General features: G+C 45.4%; 1 protein-coding gene across 3 annotated transcripts in view; it reads right to left on the bottom strand.

The window, feature by feature from the left end:
• Positions 9,551 to 17,602, bottom strand: part of ALOX5AP (arachidonate 5-lipoxygenase activating protein) — a 50,942-nt gene continuing 42,890 nt past the window's right edge. For all 3 annotated transcript variants that reach the window (NM_001204406.2, NM_001629.4, XM_017020522.3), the window contains one exon: positions 9,551 to 10,033. In NM_001204406.2, the coding sequence (NP_001191335.1) occupies positions 9,871 to 10,033 (163 nt within the window). In that variant the 3' untranslated portion in view covers positions 9,551 to 9,870. The remainder of the gene's footprint in view (positions 10,034 to 17,602) is intronic.

Genomic DNA, 17,602 nt, shown 5'->3' with positions numbered 1-17,602 from the left:
GGCTGGTTTTTATCATCAAACTATCCTCTAGGAAACTGCCAAATTATTTCTATTAAAACCCTGCTTTGCACAAGTTATCTTCCCCTCTCTCTGTGTGTGTCTCTCTCTCTCACACACACACATACTGCACATACACACACACACACACACCCCCCAAACACTTTCAATAACTCACTACTGAAAGCATCCAACAACCTAACTCAGGGACCTTCCTTTCAGGAAATTCTTCATTCCTGTCAAGATGGTTTACTTATTATCTCCAACTGTTCTTCTGTGCCTACTTTTGTTCACAGTCTAGAGGCTCTCAGCCCTTTCCACCAAAGCCTCCCTTAGTGACAGAGGAGGGTGGCTGTAGTACCCAGCCAAAGATGCTGCTTTCAAGTCTTGTGTTTTATATCAAGAAGCCATATGCATTTTGCATTGCTATCACCTAATATATCCATGTTTGTCATAATACCTAAACCTTTTAAATTATAGCCATCCAGTTAGATTGAACGGGCCCAATCTCCAGGGTGAGAGAGATGCGTCGGGTTAAGTCTTTGTGAACCCTCTAGCTCTCACCATGGGGCACAATTCCCCCAGACACCCCCTTTTACTCCCCGTCACTGCTGTCAGTCCCATTCCATAATCTTCTCCCAGGCCTCAGTGAAGTCCTTCCTTTCTATCCTTGACTATTTCTGGCAGCAGTCACTGTCTCCTCGGAGGCCCTGGAGTCCATTCTGCTAGTCCACCATGCTGTAGCTTGAACCACTGAGCAGCTTTCAAGAACAATTTTGTCCCCCCAAATAAAAGGCAGCCTCCTTGAAACAAGGATCCTCTGTTAGACCAGTGTTTATCCCGCCAGGTGCAGCAAGCAGCTCTGGACACAAACAGCTCTCAACACTGTAATCTACAACACTCATCTGCTCGAAAGCGCCTCTTTCACATTTTCATTTCATATGGATTTTTTTGTCTGTTTTTTTCCTCTTTACGTCCTGGACCTCACGGTGGCATCCTCTTCTCCTTTCTCAGGTTTAAGTGAACTAAACACTGAGTTATCTCTCAAAACTGGGAGTTTTTCTGATGCTGTGCTTCCAACACAACAATACAAAAGAGAAATAAGAGTAGTAAACATGGGGGTGGGAGGAAGGGCAAAAATAATGGCTACTTTATTTTTCCTTTCTTTTCTTTCAGCATTTCATCAAGACGAAGCTCCGTGCTCAGCATTTCATTTGCTTTGTTTCATGATAGTATCAATTGGGAATATTTCACTGATGTGAAGTGGAACAGTCTAGAAAAGTACACAGGCAACCCTCAACTCCCCTGCAACCCACCTCCTTTGCCTACCTGTCCACTCTCATTTAATGTCTTAATAATAACCCCACCATATGGGAAAAATGAAGGCGGGGAAGTCATGAAAAGAGAGGCTTTGAAACAAAAGGTTAAAATGAGATGAGGTTCAGACATTAGCGAGGTCCCCATTAACCCAGGTGATTGGAGGGGATGCAGAAAGGATGTGTCAGCTGAACCACAGAATGTTATTATAGCTCTTTCTCTCTCAGCAGGCATCCACCGTACCACACACACACACACACACACACACACACACACACACACCACCTCCTTTCCCCTGACTCCTCTCCCCAGCCTTTTTCTGAGGCTGAAAATTACAAGAATCATCCAGCCTTATGGTGTCAATTACGTTGGCCAGCATTCTTTTAATATGTCACTGCCCAGTGCACTGATAAGTTTAAATATAATTAGGGAGTGTTTTAGTCCATTACGGTTTCTATAAAAAAAACCATAGATTTGGTGGCTTATAAAAAACAAATTAATTTCTCACAGTTCTAGAGGCTGTGAAGTCCAAGATCCAGGCACCGACAGATTGTCTGGAAAAGGCCCATTTCCTGGTGCATAAATGGTGCCCTCTCGCTGTGTTCTCACATGGTGGACAAAGTGAATGAGCTCCCTTGGGCCTATTTTATAAGGACACTAATCCCATTCATGAGGATGCTGTCTTCATGACCTAATTACCTCTCAAAAGGCCGACCTCCTAATATCATCACCTTGGGGGTTAGGATTTCAACACATGAATTTTTGAGGGATGCAAGCATTCAGACCGTAACAAGGAGAGAGGGAGATTATATAATCAGTGGGGCATGGCCTGCTGGGTCCAGGTAAGAATAGACATTTCCAGACAGTTATTGTGGCCATGTTCTGGTTGCCATAGTGCTGACATTGAGGACCCAAATGCATATGCACTAAATTAAGTAATTACACATCAAATGTTTGTTCTTTTGCCCTCTTGTTGATTGGCTGAATGGTTTTTTATAAGTGTGAATCCTGAGAAGGCTTATATTTCATTCTGCTTATGCAATGGGTTCCAGTCCATTAATGGCAAGTCCATTTTAGCAGCAACTTCTTCACAATTAAGGCAAATTTCCATTAAAATTTGTTTACAACAATTGTCAAAAGAGAGACAGAGTTGTGTTCCTTTAGGTAGATCATCTGATTTTCTTAAAGCCTGGTGCTGATTTCTTTTAGGCCAAGTAAGAGTGTGCCAACTTGCAGGACTAGTCAATGTTAACACAAAAGCTTCATATAGACAATATATGCTACCTATCAGCAGAGCATCTAAGTGCTTAGCAAGGATAAGAAGAAAAAAGGATAAACTTCTCTTGGGACTGTGGTCTATTAGCGTGTCAAGCAAATTCTTAATTTGAAGAGCAATTCTGCAGAAATGAACAGAAAGTCCTCTCTAAACATTTTAATAAGAATAACCCCCCGAGCCAATATGCAATTGAGTGCATTACTTTCTAGTAATTTCATTTATACAACAGCTCCACAAGCTGTTTCTTTCTCCATATTCAGATAACCCTAGCCTCTAGGGTGACTGTAAAAGTGATATTTTAATAATGTGCCACATCTGTGATCAGAAATCCATGGTGAAACGCTCTCATGATCATATGCTAACAGCCTCAGATAACTATTTTCCAGATTTAGGCAGGACTGGTTTGATGCTTGTGGTAACTTTCATTGCCACATTTTTCAATATCGTCTGCAAGAAATCATTGCTAAAGATGAGCCCGTAGAATGGGATCCAGCCTTTATTTCAGCTGCGAAGACTTGCCATCTTCCATGGAACTTATAGATCAGCTCTGTTCAATAGGAGTATAATGTGAGCTGAATATGTTATTTAAATTTTTCTAGTAGCCACATTAAAAGTATAAAGACGTGAAATTAAGCCTAACAGTATATTTTATTTAACGCACTATATCTACAAGATTACCATTTCAATATGTAATCAGTGTAAAGCATTATTAATGAGATGTTTTGCATTCCTTTTTCTTTGTATTAACTCTTCAAACTCCGGTGTGCAATTTACATTTACAGCACGTCTCAGTTCAGAGGAGCTACACTTCAAGGGCTCAGGAGCCACACTGACTACGAACTACTGCATTGGGTAGTACAGCTACAGAGCAAAAATCTTCTGAAAAGGTGGTCAACAAACCCCGGATGAAGAACATCTTAACAAGAATGTGAATTTCCAGGCCCTATCCTTGACCTACCAAATCATACCTCTGGGGGTAGCACTAAGGAACTTTCATGTTTTAAGACAGGTTCTGTAGAGGATGCTTTGCTTACTAAAATTTAAGAACATTTCTTAGACTCCCTGTCCCAAATTTGCTTATAGCCCTATAGCCATCACCACCACACCCACCATAAACCCCACCACACGGTCATATAGGTAAGTAGGCACAATTACATAACCCAGTCTGTTCTTTCATACACTCATCAAATATTTTTTTGAGTGCTCATTGTATGCCCGGCCTAACAATATAGGCAAAGCTCCTGCCCTTTGGAAGCTTATATTCTAACGGACAAGGCAAACTGAACAAATAAAGGGGTAAATAAATGATCTAATTTCAGGTGGCAGCGAGTATAAAGAAGTGACACGTGGGTAGGAGGCCGGGGTGGAGGAGGGAGCGTGGAGGAGGAAGGGCCTAGGTGTAGGTGTGGTGGTCAGGGAAGGCTCTGGAGGAGGTGGGTGCTGGGAGACACTGAGTAAAAGGAGGGAGAGGCCCCACTGCATGAGAGAGACCAGTGCATTAGGAAGCCCCATGGTGGGAGCAGCTCCCAGGGCAATGTGGCTGGAACTGAGTGAACGAGCAAGCGAAAGGAGGAGTTGGGAGAGGGGGCAGGGACATATCCGATGGCACAGAGCCTGCATGGCCACGCCAAGGTGTGTGGGAATTATTCCAAGAGCAGCGAGAATTATCTGGGGGATTTTAAGCAAGTGCGTGTAGCATTAACATCTGATGGGCTGGGCACGGTGGCTCATGCCTGTAATCCCAGCACTTTGGGAGGCCAAGGCCGGAGGATCACTTGAGCCCAGGAGTTCAAGAGCAGCCTGGGCAACATAGTGAGGCTTCATCTGTATTAAAAATTAAACAACAACAACAAAAAATTAGCCAGGTATGGTGGTGCCAGTAGTCCCAGCTACTTGGGAGGCTGAGATGGGAGGATTGCTTGAGCCCAGGTGATGGAGGCCGCAGTGAGATGTGATCATGCCATGGCACTCCAGTCTGGGCAACAGAGCAGGAACCTGTCTCAAAAAAAAAAATAAAAAAATAAAATAAATCTGACAGAGGTGGCTATGGAGACTGTCCAGGAGAGAGAATGGTGGGCCCAGGTGACAGGGATAGCAGTGGAGATGGTGAGATGTGGCAGAGGTGGGTTGGCCGTTAAAGGTGGAGCTGATGGAGCTTGGGGATGATTGACTGTGGGTGGGAGGGCGGAAAGGAATGGAGGAAGGTTCCTTTGTTTGGGGCCTGAGTGACCACCAATGGGACAGTTATTGAGATGATGCTATGGCCTGAATGTTGGTGTCCCCCCAAAATTCAAGTTGAAATCGAATCCTCAATGTGATGAGATTAAGAGGTAAGGCCTTTAGGAAGTGATTAGGTCATGAAGGTGGAGCCCTCATGAGTGGTATTAGTGCCTGCGATAGTTTGTAAGTTTCCCCCCTCTAAATCTCAAGTTGAAAGTTAATCCCTAGTGTGGCAGTGTTGGAGGTGGGGTATCGTTGGAGGTGTTTGGGTCATGGAGGCAGGTCGCTCATCAATAGATTAATGTCCTCCCTCAGGAGTCAGTGAGCTCTCACTCTATTAGTTTCCCCAGTGCTGGTTGTTAAAAAGAGCCTGGCATCTCTCCCCTCTCTCTCTCGCTTCTGCCCTCAACACGTGATATCTGCACGTGCCAGCTCTCCTTCGTCTTCCCCCATGACTGGAAGCGACATGAGGCTGTCACCAGATGCAGATGCCCAATCTTGAACTTTCCAGCCACCCAGAATAGTGAGCCACATAAAGATTTTTTTTTTTTAAATAGAGACAAGGTCTTGCCCCGTTACCCGGGTTGGAGTGCAGTGGCTCAATCATAACTCACTGCAGCCTTGAACTCCACCCACCTCAGCCTCTCAAGTGGCCGGGACTACAAGCACACTTTACAACACACAGCTAATTTTTTAAAATTTTAGTAGAGATGGGGTAGATGGGGTCTCACTATCTTGCCTAGGCTGGTCTTGAACTCCTGGCCTCAAACAATCCTGCTGTTTTGGCCTCCTAAAGGATTAGGGTTACAGGATAAGCCTCCATGCCTGGCCACTTTTTAAAATAAAATAAATTACTCAACCTCAGATGTTCCTTTTAGCAACACAAAATGGACTAAGATAGTGACCTTATTAAAAAAAAAAAAAAGAGAGAGAGAGAGAAAGAAAGAAACAAAAAAAAGCCCAAGGAGCTTCTCGTCCTCTCCTTCCACTGTGTAAGGCGGTAGCGATAAGGCACTGTCTATAAACTGGAAAGCAGGACCTCATTAGACACCGAATCTGCCAGAAACTTGATCTTGGATTTCCAGCCTCTAGAACTGTGAGAAGTAAAGTTTTGTTGTTCAAAAGCCCCCAGTTATGGTGTTTTGTTATAGCAGCCTGAGCTGACTACGAGGAAGACAGATGAGGAAAGCATAGGGTAGGGATAATTGTAAAAACCCAGTTGCACAGATTATCTCTTTGCAACCAGGGAGAATCTCAGTATGAATAATCCTATTTTAGTCTAAATGGAGAGGAGGGAGGAGTTCACTTGTATGTCTCAGCTTCATCTGTTCTTTCACTGTGCCCTTTCCCACAGGAGATAGAAAAATGGTTAATGGTGGCTCACGTCTGTAATCCCAGCACTTTGGGAGGCTGAGGTGGGCGGATCACTTGAGGTCAGGAGTTCAAGACCAGCCTGGCCAACATGGCAAAACCTCGTCTCTACTAAAAATACAAAAATTAGCCAGGCGTGGCAGTGTGTGTCTGTAATCCCAGCTACTTGGAGTTGAGGCACAAGAATTACTTGAACCTGGGAGGCAGAGGCTGCAGTGAGCCAGTGAGCAGAGATCAAGCCACTGCACTCCAGCCTGGGTAACAGAGCCAGACCCTGTCTCAAAAAAAAAAAGAAATTTCTCTGTCTGCCAGGAGGTGGAGGAAACCACAGCCTCCTTTCTTCCCAGGTGGTCATACGTATGAATTCACTCACACACACACACTGCTGCTGCCCAAAAACCTCAGCATCACAACCATTCAGCTTCTTTTGACTCAGTGACGTAGGCAGAATCCCAAAATAACCCCCCCGTGACCCACACTTCTGCAGAATCCCCTTCCGTGGAGTGCAGGCAGAACCTGGTTGCAATTTCACTCCTTTCACTAAGTTATGTTATACGGTAAACATGAAGGGACTTTGCAGATGTAATTAAGATCTCTAATCAGTTGACTTAAAGCTCACTTGGGCCTGGCCTAATCAGATAGGCCTTTAAAAAAGGGTCTAAAGTTCACTTAAAAAAAATATGCTAATCATGTTCTCCTATTGGCCTTAAAGACATAAATGGCCATGTTGTAGAGAAACCTGTGCCAGAGAAAAGGCTTCTAGAGACTGAAGACTGTAGGCTTTAGTCTTCCAACTGGAAAGAACTGAATTCTGCCAACAACCAGTGAGCTTGGAAGAGAATCCTGAGCTTCAGCTGAGATCACAGCTTTGGTTGCCCTCTGATTACAGCCTAGTAAGACCTCTGACCCAGAAAAACTGTCAGATAATAAATTTATATTGTTTTGAGTCCCTACATTTGCAAGAATTTGCTATGCAGGAATTGAAAACTAGTGTAATAAAATAATAATAATGGCTTTTATTGAGCACTTATATTGTGCTAAACCTTTTCAATTGCTTTACCTCATTATTCCTCACAACCCCATGAGTTTGGCACTATTATTATCCCAATGTAACACATGCAAAATTGAGGCTTAGGGAGAAGTCACAGAACTGATGGTGGGATACAGCAGGCACTCTGAAGACAGGGAGTTTGAGCATTACACAATGCTGTCTTCAATTAGAAGCTGTCCCTCATCAGAAGCTGTGCACCTGAGACTCCTCTTCATAATTATGAAGGCTGCTCTCCCCTCCCCTTAATGCCTTAGACATGCACTCTGGCCCCAGGCCCCAAGTAGTGCCTCTGATGGGCCATTGCATCATTTCCTCTCCCCACCTTCTGGAAGCCCCACAGTCAGCTTGGACAGCATGACCTCTGAAAGCTAAGATGTCCCCAGGGTCCACTGGGCATATTATAACCTAGCTCACACGTCGGGTGTCTGATTTACTTTAGTTTTCCCAGGATCATCCCAGTTGTAAAACTGAAAGCCCAAAGAGAGTTTGGTGAATGGGTACAAATACACAGTTCAATAGGAGTAAGTTCCAATGTCTGACAGCCGGGTTGGGTGACTGTAGCTAACAAAATGGACTGTCTATTTCAAAATAGCTGGAACTGAGAACTTGAAATGTTCTCAACACATAGAAATGATAATCAAGGTGATGAAGACCCTAAATGCCCTGACTTCATCATTACACAATCCACACACATAATAAAGTATCACATGCACCCCACAAATACCTACAAATATGTGTATCAATAAAAATAATTTTTAAAAAACCGAAAGGACCACATCCCAGGAAAACTCCTCAATGCCAGGCCAATCAGGATTATTGATCACCTGACCACCTTCCAAACCAAGCCCAGGCATGAGAAGGCCTGGGGGCCACTTCCATCCTGCAATGTCCCATGCCTTCCCTATCAGCAAGAAGAAAAGAAAAGCCCAGCTTGGATGGTAGAGCACTGCTCTTTAGAGAGCACTCAGAGCAGAAGCAACTATCCTGAAGCAGTCAATGCCAAGGAGCTCCTGCTGGATGAGGTCTGGCAGTGCAAGCCAGGAGGGGCTTCAGCCTGGACCATCAGACAGGCCTGGAAAGCAAGGCTCATTCAGGCCCTCTCCCTTGAATTGAGAGATCCTCTTGCCTGAGCATCATACATGAGGCACATGGATTCAGGCCTCAGACCACGCCAGACTCCACATTCCATCATCTCTGCTGCCCAAGCAGGCAACTGGAGGAGAGCTGGGGGAGGCTTCACATCCTTCCTAGGATTGTGACTGTCATGATACTCATCTGGGGAATAACACAGACCCACCTATTACTGTCCAGCTCGATTGAGAGTTCAATCCTGATGAATGGCTCCCCTATAAGAGCTGGCTTCTCTGTTGGGGATCCTGGAATCTTGACTACACCCCGCCATCTTCCAAGCTGTGCTGTTTCTGCCAAGTGGCACCTGTCATGACAGTGGCTGGATCACTGTCACTATGAACTGAGTGACCAGTGGGACATTTACTGAGATGGTGCTATGGTCTGAGTGTTTGCACTCTCCCCAAATTCACATGTTGAAATCAAATCCCCAGTGTGATGGCATTAGGTGGTAGGGCCTTTGGGAAGAGGCCCATATTGTGGGACAAATCTGTCCACACTGTGGGAAATGGCTCAACACACATACTTCATTAAATACAGCCAGTTAGCGATTCATAAACTCATTCATTCATTTATTCATTGGTTTGCCAATATTTGGGGGCACGTATGACGGTCCTCGCATTATCTTAGGTTCCCACAGGGAATTACAGAACATTTTAAACTGTATAACATGGAAGTGCTGGGCACGATGCTAGTATATGAAGATACCAACCTAATTCACATGGCTGTGTGAAGAGGGATGGATGTCATAAAAGATCTTCAAGTAATTTTTCCAGAAGCCAGATGTGTATTTTTTTTAATTTGAGATGGAGTCTCACTCTGTTGCCCAAGCTGGAGTGCAGTGGCATGATCTTGGCTCACTGCAACCTCTACCTCCCGGGTTCAAGCAATTCTCCTGCCTCAACCTCCCAAGTAGCTGGGATTATAAGCATCCACCAGCATACCTGGCTAATTTTTGTATTTTTAGTACAGACAGGCTTTCACCATATTGGCCAGGCTGGTCTTAATTCCTGACCTCAAGTGATCCACCTGCCTCGGCCTCCCAAAGTGCTGGGATTACAGGTATGAGCCACCACACCTGGCCAGGATGTGTATTTTTAATATTATCATTTAGTTTGAGGAAAACAAACTAGTCGTTTGTGGGTATAGAGATAAATCCCCCAAAAGCCATTAACAAAACCCCTCAACTATCAGCTTAAAACATGTCTCTGCATTTTATTTTAAGAAAACACAAACCTGGTCACAAAACATCTTCAGAGAACAGGATAAGTGAAGAAACAAACAAAATGCATGGGAATAGCAAATTTGGGGCCACGGTCATGTTCAAGGGGCGGAGCTGACATGACATCATTTTGTTCCCGGAAAAGCAAGGTTAACTCAAGCTGTGAAGCCCAGATGGCCAATAGATTTACAGCCATCTAAAGAAGAGCAGAATGCTCTCAAGAGCTGAATTATGATGACTTGTAGGTATTGATTAGATGAGAACACCAACCCCATATTCAGCAGAGAGTTAGGGAATGAGAAGTAGAGGGGAGATGGTGGTGGAGATCGTCTTTATGTAGTTTTCAAAGTCACTTCCGAAAAAGAAGATGAGGTAATAGTTGAATATGCCAGCAACGGACATGAGGAACAGGAAGAGTATGATGCGTTTCCCAAATATGTAGCCAGGGGTGCTGGAAGAGAAGGAAAAAGAAAACTGTAGATGCAGTGCGAATGACACCAATTTCACACACACAAAAATGTTACCCCTTTTAGATATATGGGGTTTAAATTATAGCTCCCTGGACTCAACAATGCTCCATTTTCCCATTTACTTCATTTGAAGGGTAGAAGTGTCTCAGCTATTACTAGTCATTGAACTTATTTCAAACCCAAGTGAAGAGAGCCTAGACCTCAAAACCCATTACCACGAGGGCTCTGCTGTACCCGCCCCTCTGTGCTCTCATGATTTCCTTAACTCCAGAGCTCCTTGATGGCCTGAAGATGGCAGGTTCTGTTGACCATTGGGCATCCTCACTGAGCATTAGGACCATTAAGACCCTCTCTGCAGCTGCCCATAACGACAGACACGTGTGTAATGCAGGACTGTGTTAGAAGTGAAGTTTAAATGAGCCGATAAAACCGGTGGAATCTGAAAGGTGCTTCGGCATCTGAGGGCTCATTCTATTCTCCTGAGGCTGACTGGAATAATTCATATCTACATTCATGAGACCTGGGCACCCAGCAATGGGAGACAGGCCCTTGCATTTTTGAGTGGAGGGAGAGACTTGGTTTTTGTTGTTATTGTTGTTGTTTGTTTCTTTGTTTTTGAGATAGAGTCTCACTCTGTAGCCCAAGCTGGAGTGCAGTGGTGCAATCTCGGCTCACTGCAACCTCAGTCTTCTGGGCTTAAGTGATTCTCATGCCTCAGCCTCCCAAGTAGCTGCAACTACAGGCGCACGCCACCACTCCCAGCTAACTTTTTGTATTTTAGTAGAGATGAGGTTTCGTCATGTTAGCCAGGCTGGTCTTGAACTCCTGAGCTCAGGCAATCCACTCACCTCGGCCTCCCAAAGTGCTGGGATTATAGGCGTAAACCACCATGCCTAGCGGAGACATGTTTTAATATACTCTATCCTTCTCTCCAAGGCACTAAATCCTAAACTGCATCCCCCAGTGAGATGTGACCTCCTAATGGCATGCAGAGGCCACCCTGTTTCTGCCCTCCCTCTGCAGAGCCCTCCTCTGACTGCCTCCATGGCTGGCCCATCTGAGAGGTGATAACAGGTTGGGAAAGTCCAAATGACTCAGGAGGATTGTTAGTAAAGATCCTGGGAAGGCATCTTTAGGCAATCAGGACCGCACAACAAGATGAGCCAGCTCAGCCCAACAGCTAACTTCGTACTGCCAAGTGCCGTTTCCTGCCATAATCAGAGAGCAGCATTTGGCATCCACAGGTTTAATATTAGAAATTTTATCAATTTGAAAGGCACCCCATATGCTGATAATATAACTCATAATTTTTCTTTTTCTTTTCTTTTTTTTTTTTTGAGACTGAGTCAAGCTCTATTGCCCAGCTGGAGTGCAGTGGCACGATCTCAGATCACTGCAACCTCTGCCTCCCGGGTTCAAGCGATTCTCCTGCCTCAGCCTCCTGAGTAGCTGGGATTACAGGCACCTGCCACCACACCTGGCTAATTTTTGTATTTTTGGTAGAGATGGTGTTTCACCATGTTGGCCAGGCTGGTCTCGAACTCCTGACCTCAGGTGATCTGCCCACCTCGGCCTCCCAAAGTGCTGGGATTACAGGCGTGAGCCACCACGCCCAGCCAACTCATAATTTTTCTACAGCAGGAGTCTGAAAGTCACTCAGCCATTATGTATCAAGCTCCTTGCTACTCAAAGTATGGTCCGTGGACCAGCAGCATCAGCCCCCACACTGGAAACTTGTCAGAAATGGGAAATCTCAGGTCCCTCTGGAACCTAATGAATCAGAATCTGCATTTTAACAAGCTCCCTGTGGGACCCACTCACATCAGAAAAGCACTGCTAGCTGACACCAGCCCTGTTCCTTGGCCAGCTTCATTCTCTCCCTGTTTTCCTGTTCACAGTCATGTTCATGAGATAAGACATCCTAACTAGCTCCTTAAGGGGGAAAATAAACATCCCAAAAGAGGGTGTTGTGGGCTGAATTAGGTCCCTTCCAAAATTCATATGTTGAATCTTTACTCTCAGTTCCTCAGAATGGGACTGTATTTGGAGACAGGGTGTTTAAAGAGATAATTAAGGTAAAATGAACTCATATGGGTGGATCCTCATCCAGTATGACTGGGGTCTTATAAGAAGGGGAGATTTGGACACAGACATGCTCAGTGAGGTGATGATGTGAAGACACAGGTAGAAGGTGGCACTCTATAAGCCAAGGAGAGAGGCTGCAGGAGAAACCGACCCTGCCCACACTTTGATCTTGGACTTCTAGCCTCTAGGACTGTGAGAGAATAAATTCTGTGGTTTGAGCCCCCCAGGCTGCAGTGCTTTGTTATGGCAGCGCCAGCAGATGAGTACAGAGTCCCCTGCTAGTGCTGGTAAGGGAATTGAAAATAAAATAAAGAAGTCCAAGTAAGGGATATTTTTTAGCCAGAGAATAGAGGGTTCAGATAAATTAAATTGTGAAAAGTCAAATATCGTGGTGGCTCAGATTTATCACACGAATGAGGCCACCATATGCTCATTACAGAAACAAGAAAAAGTGATTTGCGAAGCTGTTTTACACTCAAGATAAAACCGAAGTGAAAAATGAAATGGCAGCGCCTCCTGATGAAATAGTGATGCTCTTCAATTCAGGTAGGATTTTTTCCAAGGTCTCAGGGCATGTGGCCCTCGCAGCATAGGACTAGGGTGCTTTAACTCTTCCCAGGCTGTGCACAGGGTGTGGAAGATAAGAGCTCAGCCTCCTGCTCCCTTGTCTGCAGGGCTCAGGGAATGTGACCCCAGGCCGGGCACATCATTAGCTGCACCTTTAAGTCTCTGAAGTTTGGAAATGGGGCCACAGCTGTGGCAAGTGAGCATGGTGGGCAGATACCGAACCTGACCCAGGCTCAGCAAAGCTGCGGAGAACCTGAAATGCTGTGAGCAGGGAAGGAAGACCTTGGGGGCCTAGACAGCGCACACCAGGGTCATTAGCCCTTGAACAAGGAGGACATCTCTTTCATGTTTCTATTTTTTTTTTATACCAACCACAGAAGACTCACTAATCTTTCATTGTTTCTAAAAGTTGGTACATAATCCTAAATGAGTGAGGAAGGTCAGAATTAAATTATTAAGCATCTTTCGGGGCCAGGTATTGTACACCCATGACTTCCTTTAATTCTCACAGCCATCCTATGGGGGCGTATTGTAAACCTATTTTCCATCTAGGCAAACAGAAAAGAGAGGTTGCATGATTTGCCTCAGGTCCCACAGCCAGCAAGAGGCAACACAGGAGTTCAGACCTGCCTGTGTGAGGCCAGAATCCCGTGCTTTGCACTGCAGGGCAAAGGATGCCTTCAGACTTCGGAGACCAGGATTTGGTTATTAGTTTTGAAACAGCTGTGCCCTCCACAGGCAGCATAAAACTTACATGAAAACACAAAAGCATCCTGCTAAATAATTCCCATCTCAAAGGTGCTAACCACTTCTAGGATGAGGCGCCGTAGTGTGGGAGATGGGGGCGCCCAGGCATCCAGAGCCCTGAGTTCCACCCAGGCATCGTGGGTGGCTCATGCCTATAATCCCAGCACTTTGGGAGACTGAGGCTGGCAGATTGCTTGAGTTCAGGAGTTCGAGACCACCCCAGCTCAGCTCTCTGTGGCCCCCCGCCAGTCACCCCCCCTCCTCCACTTCCCACCCCAGGTTCTTAATGTGAACAAAATACGAGGTAGGAACAGAAAACATTACAGTCCCTTCTTGTTTTAAAAATCTGTTCTTTTCAGAATTTAGGGAAGTGTCATTTTAAGCCTGGTGACCTCTAAAGAAAATAAAAATTGTAAGCTCTGTGAGGACAAGATATTTCTCCTCTGCCCACCCACAAATCTCCAATAAATAAGGACCTCTGCAAATATTTCTGAAATGAATGAATCATTTCTCAGAAAAGAGAAGTGAACAGCCTTCAGCGATTCCCAAACTCCAGTGTGTGTAAGAATCACCTAAAGAATGTGTTATCTGAGAATGCAGAATCATCTGAGAATGCAAATTCTCAGGCTTCCTCTGGCAGAGATTCTGATTCATAAGTCTGGGATGGGGCCCAGGAATCTGTATCTTTAATAAGCACCACAGATGATTCTAATACTGTTGTTTGGTGGGTTTCGCTTTTAGAAACAGCAGCCTTGATATCCATCTATGCTCCCCGGCCTTCCAAAAGAAGAATGTTTCTCCTCAAACTCTGGTGAAGTAACACCATACTCCACACTTGGAGGGGCCCACAGACTCTAAAACATTGATGCTGAGGAGGAGAAATGACAACGAGGAATCAGTCTTCTTGCTTTTTGAGAACTAGGTCTATGATTATTTTGGTAAGTTGAATATATTTGGTCTTGCAATGTGCCCCTGGCTCTAGGAGACACCTTGGGTCTCCTTGGGGACAAAGACTCCGTCATGTTCACTGTTACTCCTTCAGCAACTGACCTGGTACCTGGCACAGAGCAGGTAGCAAATATCTACTGAATCAATGTTGAGTGAATGAGGAGTGAGTGAGCAACTCAGGAGGAGGAGGAGTGGGGTAACCTGAGTTCATTGGCCTCAAGAGTTGGCAGTCATTGCCCACCCACCATTGAGCTGAGAACTTCATATTGCCAAGAGGATCAGTAGGAGCCCCAACAGAGGACAGGACTCCATGGGATAGGAAGAGGGAGCAACCCAGTGCCTGCTAGGGAAGGTAGGTAATAAAAGACCAAGAGTCAGTTGCCAGTTGGTGCCAGGTGCCATTGAGTTCAGGCCCAGGTAATAGCTTAAATGAATGGGGAAGAAACCAAGATTCAGGCTGGGCATCATGGGTGGCTTATGCCTATACTCCCAGTACTTTGGGAGGCCGGGGATGGCAGATTGCTTGAGTTCAGCAGTTCGAGACCAGCCTGGCCAACATAGCTAAACCCTATCTCTACTAAAAATACAAAAAATTAGCTGGGTGTGGTAGTGCACACCTGTAGTCTCAGCTACTCAAGAGGCTGAGGTATAAGAATCACTTGAACCTGGGAAGAGGTGGAGGTTGCAGTGAGCCAAGATCAGGCCACTGCACTCCAGTTTGGGTGACAGAGCAAGACTATGTAAGGTGAGGTGAGATGAGGTGATGTGAAGGGAGGGAAGGGAAGGGAAGGGGAAAAGAGAAGAGAAAAAAGAAAAGAAGAGAAAAGAAACGAAACCAAGATTCATCCTTCACTGCTGGGTAGTAACTGCTACAGGTGAACTAAACAGGATAGAGGAAGGGGTCAGAGAGAGTAGGATGAAGGGCTGAAAATAAGAGCCAGAAACTTCTAGAGGGCATTAAAAAGGGAGCTGCAAAATCCTCGCAGGGCAGCCTGAAGCCTGAAGGAAGAAGCTCAGACTGGGGCATTCATTATGGAATGTCTTCCCTACCCACTGGATCAAGGATGACACTGAACTTCCTAAGCGGACAGGGCTGGAGCAACTTCTGGAAAGGGGCAACGGACCATCTGGGGTTCAAGAGAGAAATTCCGGGGGAAGGATCTCATCTAGCAATTCCTCCTCGGTTGGTGAGGTCAAGAACTAAAGCAGGTCCCAAGAGCATTAGGTGTCTGCAGAGTCCAAGTGTGACATAGCCCAGGAACAGAAGAGAGGCCTGGGGAGGAGATGGGCCCAACTGAAGAAGATCTCAGCAAGTAGCTTCTAGACGGCAGGGTTGAAAATCTCCTTGCATTTAACCATAAAGCCCCTCTGGCTTGCATCTATATCAGGCCGTATTTTGGTCTAGATTAGGCTTAGACATTTCTTCTAGTATCTATTACTTCTACTTATGACAGCTGCTCAGAGTGGTTGTGTTAAGCAGTATCTGTGTTAAGAAGGATTCCGAGGCCAGGTTTGGTCTCTGGAAGAAAGAGCACCATGATTCATCAGTAATGCCTACCACGGCCAGAGGGGAGGAGAAGGGGGTCTAGAACCCGCGCAGATGGCGGGTTATGGGGCTGGCAGGATCTTCTTCTTATCACCTAAAGAGGGAGACCAGGGAGGGACACAAGAAGGCAGGCCATTTATATTTCAATGAGGTCCGAAGAAATCTACTATTTTAAAGATTTCTTGTAAATCAATCTCCTATTGTTTATTTTTGCCACCTCTGTTCATTCCCTAATAGGAATCAGTTAGTAAAGCCTTTAAAGTTAAAAGGACATGTGGGTAGGTGGACAAATTTTGTCATGTTCTGCAGATGGTCTCGGAATTAAAGCAGCTGTAGGATCTCAAGCAAGTGGTGACAGATGAAGAGAGGAGCAGTGACTGAGCCACATCCCTGGGACTTTGCAGGGGGTAAGATAGGGCTGCATAGGGAGCCAGGCAAAAGAGAAGACCCTCTTATTTCATTGCTAGACATTCCACCCCCACTCTTAACGAGGTAATCACATGGGAAAAGGCATGATAGAGGTTTTCCAGGGCAAAAGAGAATAAAGAATATCATTTAGGGCAGTGTTGATAAGAATAGGAGAGATAATGGAATTGTGGTTTTAGAGGATAAATAAGAATGCCACTAGAGAGGAATGAAGAAAGAGATGGCACAGGGAAGGATCTGCTGAAAGAACAGTCATTCTTTTTCCAGCTGCAGCCCGGCTCACGGTCTAACCCCGTCAAGTCCTTGAGCTTCACAGGCTCTCAGGTTTTCCAGATATAGCGCTTTCACCCGCTGACCTCCCTAGGATGTCACTGCCTTTATCACTACTGAAGGATGCTATCTAATCATAGAGCCCATTAGCCACTAGAGAGGGGTGCTATTGTAAAAGACAGAGCGGCTGTGAACACAAGGAAGGAAAATGGTGTGGAAGGCTGGGGTCAGCACCTGGGGCAGCAGCCTCACAGAACGTGTTCCTGGCACCTGAAACCATACTAGTGCATTAGGAATTGCAATCTCTAAGGAACTGACGGCATACTCTAACGCCGACATTTCTTCTGTAAGTATTAGCATGTATTTTACTAAAATCTAGATTTCCTAGTCCAGATGTCAGGAAGGTACTGTGCTGCTTTGGGGCTTTCTGTCTGGCAACATCTATAAACAATGCAATGGTGATGCTAGTCAGTTTCACAGTCTCGTGTCTGCATCTTTTTTTTTTTTTTTTTTTTTTTTTTTGAGATGGAGTTTTGCTTTTGTTGCCCAGGCTGGAGTGCAGTGGCGCAATCTCGGCTCACTGCAACCTCTGCCTCCTGGGTTCAAGCGATTCTCCAGCCTCAGCCTATGGAGTAGCTGGGATTACAGGCGCCCACCACCATGCCTGGCTAATGTTTTGTATATTTTTTAGTAGAGACGGGGTTTCACCATGTTGGCCAGGCTGGTCTCAAACTCCTGACCTCAGGTGATCCACCCACCTCAGCCTCCCAAAGTGCTGGGATTATAGGCGTGAGCCGCTGCACCCTGCTGTCATGTCTGCATCTTACTGCATCTTATTTTCCCAACATTCTTTCTTCTGGTCCCTGAAAGATATGTTCCTCAGGACAACTTATCACAAGGTGCAAGCTTTAGTTCTCATTTCTCTAGACAAACAATGAAACATTTCACTCTCAGGAGGCCT

This window comes from Homo sapiens, chromosome 13, assembly GCF_000001405.40.
Source record: "Homo sapiens chromosome 13, GRCh38.p14 Primary Assembly".
NCBI classification, from domain to species: domain Eukaryota; kingdom Metazoa; phylum Chordata; class Mammalia; order Primates; family Hominidae; genus Homo; species Homo sapiens.
Note: the sequence above shows the minus strand (reverse complement) of the source record. Positions and strands in the feature narration are given on the sequence as shown.